Source organism: Homo sapiens, chromosome 10 (assembly GCF_000001405.40).
Source record: "Homo sapiens chromosome 10, GRCh38.p14 Primary Assembly".
In the NCBI taxonomy this organism is placed as follows: domain Eukaryota; kingdom Metazoa; phylum Chordata; class Mammalia; order Primates; family Hominidae; genus Homo; species Homo sapiens.
Window position 1 is genome coordinate 83,188,687 of NC_000010.11, and position 6,774 is coordinate 83,195,460.

A 6,774-nucleotide genomic window follows, 5' to 3' on the forward strand; every position below is an offset into this window, starting at 1 on the left:
TCTGTGGGTGGCATTAAGCTAGCAAAACACTCTACTTGGCATTATCTTGACACCAGTCAATGAAGCTATCAGGCAAATGAAACTACTTTTGTGATAAGCAGCACAGTAATCGAAAATTGTCATTCTTTCTTTTCCCCAGGAAAACCCGAAACTTTCATTTCAACCTTTTTTATATCACCAGGAAGAAATGAATATTTATAAAACAAGAAAAGGGCACCATCCAGGTGTCATTTTTCTCAGTGAATTATACACAATGAAGGATAATAAAACAGCTTCAAAGTAAACTCTAGTTGCTGCCATTTAGCACTAATTTTTTAGGCATTTATTCAGTTCTACAGGCAAATGTACAGGCAATGTCAGAGAGAAACGTATCTTGGTACACTTGGAGGCAATAAGTTGGGCAGGTAAGAGCTTTCTTTTCATTAGAGTCCAGCAGTTAGTGGATAAAGATGATGACTGAGTGATCCAGGCTTGAGTGCTGGACCAAAGGGCTGGAATCACCAATCAATTGAGGATAAATCTATGATACAAAGCAGGATTCATTTTACCCTAAAGGAGTTGAAAGCAGAACTCTAGATCAGCATTGTCAAGTGAACGTACAAGTTTAATGTTCTCTCCTAGAATCACACTGGATCACAAAATAGTTAATGTGAAAAAAAAAAACCACACACACAACTGTGTCAAAAACAGAAAAAGATATCTGCGGAACACCACAAAGGAAAACAAAAAATTTCTAGATGATAGAAATTAAATGATATGTGATTAATGAAGAAACTCGTCAAGGATCAATTGATATTTAAGAAAAACATTAATAAAAGAGAAGGACCAGCCAGGTGCAGTGGCTCAAGCCTGTAATCCCAGCACTTTGGGAGGCCGAGGCTGGTGGATCACGAGGTCAGGAAATCAAGACCATCCTGGCTAACACGGTGAAACCCCATCTCTACTAAAAATACAAAAAATTTGCCAGGCATGGTGGCGGGCACCTGTAGTCCCAGCTACTCGGGAGGCTGAGGCAGGAGAATGGTGTGAGCCTGGGAGGCGGAGTTTGCAGTGAGCCAAGATCTGGCTACTGCATTCCAGACTGGGCAACAGAGTGAGACTCCACTCCATCTCAAAAAAAAAAAAAAAAAAAAAAACTGAGAAGGACCAAAATGAACAATCACCTGACAGTGGAGGATACAAGAAATTCCCATAAGGACAAAAGGAATTTTAAATATTTCTAATTAGTATCATCAGAAAATTTACAAAGAGTATTATATTCACAAAATGCAATAATATTCTGTAAAGAAAAGTAAGTACTGAATTGGTTCAAAAAGCAAAAATTACAGTTCCTAAAATTTACAAAATATATATCAAATTTTATATCAAAATATACAATTTTTAAATCCATAAAAGGATGAAATAACAGATTGAAAGTAAATATGTGTCAGATCAAATTAGTATTTTAATATATAAATGTATGAAAATTTTTACAATACGGATAGAAAATATGTGAGAAAATATTAGAGATCTGGAAAACAGATCCAGAATAGATTATTTATACTATAGGCTAGAGTCCTGTATTCAATTTGTCTTTACTTTAACAGGCAATGTGATTGAGATTAAATTTGTTAGTTTTGGTTTTTAGTTTTGCAATAGTTTTTTTTTTTGAGCCAATGAAATTCTTCTTTTGAATTTATGTATTTATTTTATTTTATTATGATCAGATAATATTCTGTGAATATTTGCAATGTATATTCTATTTTGTAGATATACACTTGGCTGATAGGTAGACAGAAAGATAAAACAAAACTCATGCTGTTTTATTTTAAAAATTTATCAATTTTGAGAGTGTACTGTGTCTTATTTAGGATAAGGTAGGATATGCTGAGGTAAAAAGTTTTCAACATTTTATCTCTCCTTTGTGTTCCCTGTCTAACATGCTCTGTATATATGAAGGAACACGTCTAAGCTCCACCATAGCCACTCAAGACCCTGATGCAGAGACCTGCCTTCTTGTGGCCACGCCATGTGGAACATGTGGCCCTCACAGTTGATGGGACTGGTAAGATGTTGCTGAAGGATGATGTGCCAGCCTCTTCCGTACTTCAGCCTGGAGGTAATGTCCCACATTTCTGCCTACTGGCAATTTGCCAGAAGTAGTTATATGATCCTATCTAAGTTAAAAGGCATCTAAGAAAGGTGAAAAAATGGAATATCTGTGACTTACACGCTTTCTACCATGGTGTTTTGAAGGGTTATGCTATGACTGGAGCACCACACAGTGGTTAAGACATCAGGTTCTGGAGTCAGACTCCCTGGGTTTCATTTACTGTGTTAGTCAGCTTGGGCTGCCATAACGGAATACCATAGAATGGGTTGCTTAAACAACATAAATTTATTTTCTCATACTTCTGAAGACTGAAAAGTCCAGGATCAAGGTGCCAGCAAATTCAGTTTCTGATGAGTCCTCTCTTCCTGGCTTGCAGACGGTCACCTTCTGCTGTGTGCTCCCCTGTTCCTTGGGGCATGTACACACAGAGAAAGATCTCTGTCTTCCTCTTCTTATCAGGCCACTGATACTATCGTATTAGCACCCCAGGGCCCCACTCTTATGACCTCATTTAACCTACCTCATTTAACCTTAATTACTTCTGTAGAGGCCTTATTTCCTACTTTCAAATACAGTCATATTGAGGTTTAGAGCTTCAGTATTTAAATTTTCAGGTGACACAATTCAGTTAATGGCACGTACATTACCTTCTCTATGCTGTAGCTACAGAATAGAAATAAGTGAAATACCTACTTTATGTGGTTGTTATAAAAACAAAATATTTTAATACAAATATAGCACTTAGAATAGGGCCTAGCACTTAGTAAGTACCCAATAAATATTACCTATTAGCAAATTGTCATTTTTTATGCATACGGCATTTTAGACATTCCATATTGTTACAGCATGTTGTTATTTACGTGAAGTTTTCTAACTGTCATATTCTTGGTGTGGATCATTAAAATAGAGATTTTAAATAAATCCCTTACATATCACTTGAACGCAGGGAGGGGAATGCCAGATAAATACATATTTGAATGAAAGACTGAAGAGTTTGCTGAGAAACAACTTTAGCTAACAGTGGCAGGAGTAAGAGCCAGGCATGATGAGGCTGACACTATAGCTAAACCCCAGGAGTAGAGAGGAATTCTGTGTACGGCATAACAATTCCCTCAGCTTTGCTTCTCACTAAGCTCCCCTAGATTTATGTACCAACCTTATGTATAAGGGTGATTTATTTTAACTTAAATATTAAAGTACTGGTTTAATAAATGTCTAATCTTGTAGCGCAATGCCACTAAATATTTCCAAATACAACACACACAAAATGGGGCCTCAGTTTACAAAACACCATAACACAGCTTTGGGCCCTTGTTTCAGAGGAGACATTCCCAGTAGGGTACCATGGACCCCTCACAGAAACTTGCTGGACAGTGAAAGGGTTTTGTGTTTACATCTCTTTGCCTTCTAAGTTACTTCTCTTGCAATTTTTTTTGGCTCTAATTTTTTACTGAAAACAATAATTTTTTAAAAAAAACAGCATTTACTGTCATTTGGGTGCCAGGCATCTGGCTTGACATTCTTTATATGTGGCATCGTTTTCAGACACTTTCATTTTACTCTATGAGGTCCTTTTTTTTTTTTTTTGAGATGGAGTTTTGCTCTTGTTGCTCAGGCTGGAGTGCAATGGCGCAATCTCGGCTCACTGCAACCTCTGCTTCCTGGGTTCAAGCGATTCTCCTGCCTAAGCCTCCTGAGTAGCTGGGATTACAGGCACCTGCCACCATGCCCAGCTAATTTTTCTATTTTTAGTAGAGGCGGGGTTTTGCCATGTTGGTTAGGCTGGTCTCGAACTCCCGACCTCAGGTGATCCACCCGTCTCGGCCTCCCAAAGTGCTGGGATTACAGGCATGAGCCACCGTGCACGGCCTCTATAAGGTAATTCTTATTTCCATTTTAAGGGTAAGAACACCTCTGAAACTTGGTTTTACTTTCCTATCACATGTTAGACTATGATTTGGACTAAGGACTGACCCCAAAGTCCATATCTTCCCCACTGGACTCCTGCCCCAGGTATACTCAGATAGCATATTAGTAAACAATAAAGTACAGTATATGAACAAAGTATTTTAATGTCTTGAACTCTGCTTATGAAATGCATTTTTTAATTTTACTTGTTCTTAAGGGCTAAGTTAAAGTCTCAGGCCACTGAAAAAGGTTTCTGAACATTCGTGTCAGAAAACAAAATAAAACACGACTTAGATTATCTTGGTTGGATTGAATTTAGGGAAAATTCTCCTTGGAGCCATACCTATATTCAATCTATCTAGATTTCCTCAGTTAAATACCAATAACAGTCTTCCCTGGTTTGCTTATTCTGGGTGATTTTCTTTGAGATTATGTTTCACCTTTGTTGACAGCAAGCTGAACATTCCCACATTATCATACTGTTTATTTTACTTTGTTGGCTAATGCACTGTCACCGCTAGGAAAACTTCACAGCTTTGAATATGAATGTAACATCTGGTTTCGTTTCAATAACATTTCATGCTGCAAATGCAAATATGATCTTTTTTGTGTGTACTTCAACAAAAAAGTCTCATATAGTCGTTCTAATTGAAGGCTGATTTCCACATTCCAGTTCCTGAATGCCATGGCTTTGCCCTACTTTTTTCTTTTTTGAACATAGATGGAAGTATAAACGTGTGTTCTAAATACATCCCATACTGCTCCTTCCGTTTTGTCAGAACTTTAATCTGTAAACGTGCCATGTCCTTAATTTGTCGGATTTTGGGGACACTGGGCAACAAGTAAAATGTCTCTTTCTCGATGCTATCTGAATTTATACATTAAGACAATTTGTGACATCTTATGGCATATGATTCATCTCTCATCCAGAAAATCAAAATTACAGATTTTGATAAAAGTCATACAGTGAAAACTATTGATCACTCTTCTACACTATAAGATTTTAGCAGGCAGAGATTTTAAAAACACACCCTGTTATGATATTTACTGGAGCAAGTGTGGAAGGCAGAGTTGCTGTCCACATATGCAATTCATAGGTTATAGATTTCTGTTTTTAGGTAATGATGCCTGGATTCATAGAAATATCCCTCACACACAGCTACAAGTTTAAGCTACTGAGGTTACATTTAAAATAACCTTCTCCAAAAACTTTTCATGTCTGTTATAGAACAAGCCATGCGAACAACTAAAGATGTATAAACACAAACTTTTCTTCCTTCTATGAGATTTGCTTAGTTAGGAGAATTAAAACTATGTACTTACAAAGAAGAAAAATGAAAACAGAAGTCAATATATGAGGGCTAATTAGTGAGATCTTTGCCAGTAGTATGGAAATCTAGAAAATAAATAAAGTATATTTGGTTAAGTATTTAGGAAGAAACACAAAAGAACAAAAATTGGAGTTTAGCAGTGGATATTACATTTGCAACCCATGAGTAGAGAGAAGCATTCTAGGCAAAGGGAATGGATTCATAAAACATCTGAGGGGGAGAAATTCAAGGTGTTCAAGGATGCAGTTTTCTATCCAGCATTCTTTAGCATCCTGGCAGCCTGAGACTGGCTCACAATTGTGCCCAGATGCTGTTTAGTTACACTTGGCCAACAGCCTATAGCCCCCACAAGTTAAACATGAGTTCATACTGATCTTTGTAACTTTAACCTATTACCACTTTGTAAACCAAAAACAAAATTCTAAGCCTCCCAACCAACTGAATGGACCCCCCTTCTAGCCAAGAGTACCCAAAGAAACCTGAGAAATGAGTTCAGGTCATGACAGAAGGAGGAAAGAAGTTTGGCATGTCTCATTATACTCTCCTCCTTTTGGAGTTCAGTACAACTGACTAGCATTAACATTAACATTATTGTGAAACGGTGCTGCAAAGCTCTCTTCTGTGGAGAAAATTTACAGTGTGTAAAGAATATCCTTACCTTTCCAGGTTTTTTCCCGATACAGGAGAGATTTAACTAAAAGTCTAACATCTTTTAAAACCTGACAAAATACATTTACCATCTATTATATCTGAAGCCTGTTACCTGAAGGCTCCATCTACACAGCGAGAACCTTGGCTTCCACATCCCTCCTTATCTTAAGCTGAACTCCTTCAACCAACTGCCAATCAAGAAATCTTTGACTTCACCTATGACCTGAAAACCCCCACTTTGAAATGTCCAGCCTTTTTATATCGAGCCAATGTATACCTCACATGTATTGACTGATGTCTTATGTCTCCTCCCCAAAATGTGTAGAACCAAGCTGTACCCAACCACCTCGGGTAAATGTTCTCAGGACCTCTTGATATTATGCCTCAAGCCATGGTCACTCATATTTGGCGCAGAATAAACCTCTTTAAATGTTTTAGAGTTTGACTTTCTTCATGAACAACTTGGATTAGTCTAGGCTTCTCCTCTTGCTTATCTGTAAACATGCATTGCAATAATGAGAAGCTTGGCTCTGACTTCATTCCTCTATTTACTTATGTGTTATATTCCGGTACATCGTATACTAATACAGGAATGTTATAACCCATCCATGTGTAGAAAACAACTTTATTAACTAGATTACAAGGTTTATGTGCAGTGCATTTTGACTTTAGTTTTATAAACTCCTCTCATTTCCAAAGTTACTGAGGTCAGCAACTTCCTGCCTACCTGTATATACCTCATTCAGTGAGGTTGCTTCATAATTGGATAGTAGAGTTAGGTTATTTTAGTAC

The 6,774-nt window shown here is 37.3% G+C and overlaps 1 long non-coding RNA gene across 2 annotated transcripts; it reads right to left on the minus strand.

The window, feature by feature from the left end:
• Nucleotides 1-294: 294 nt before the first annotated feature.
• Nucleotides 295-6,339, minus strand: LOC105378392 (uncharacterized). 2 transcript variants are annotated; one of them, XR_946139.3, is made up of 3 exons: nucleotides 6,260-6,339; nucleotides 5,324-5,396; nucleotides 295-520 (listed from the first exon to the last, which is right to left on the minus strand). It is a non-coding gene; the product is annotated as an uncharacterized LOC105378392 (long non-coding RNA). The 2 variants fall into 2 exon arrangements; XR_946138.3 differs by lacking the exon at nucleotides 6,260-6,339 and adding an exon at nucleotides 5,990-6,225.
• Nucleotides 6,340-6,774: the final 435 nt, after the last annotated feature.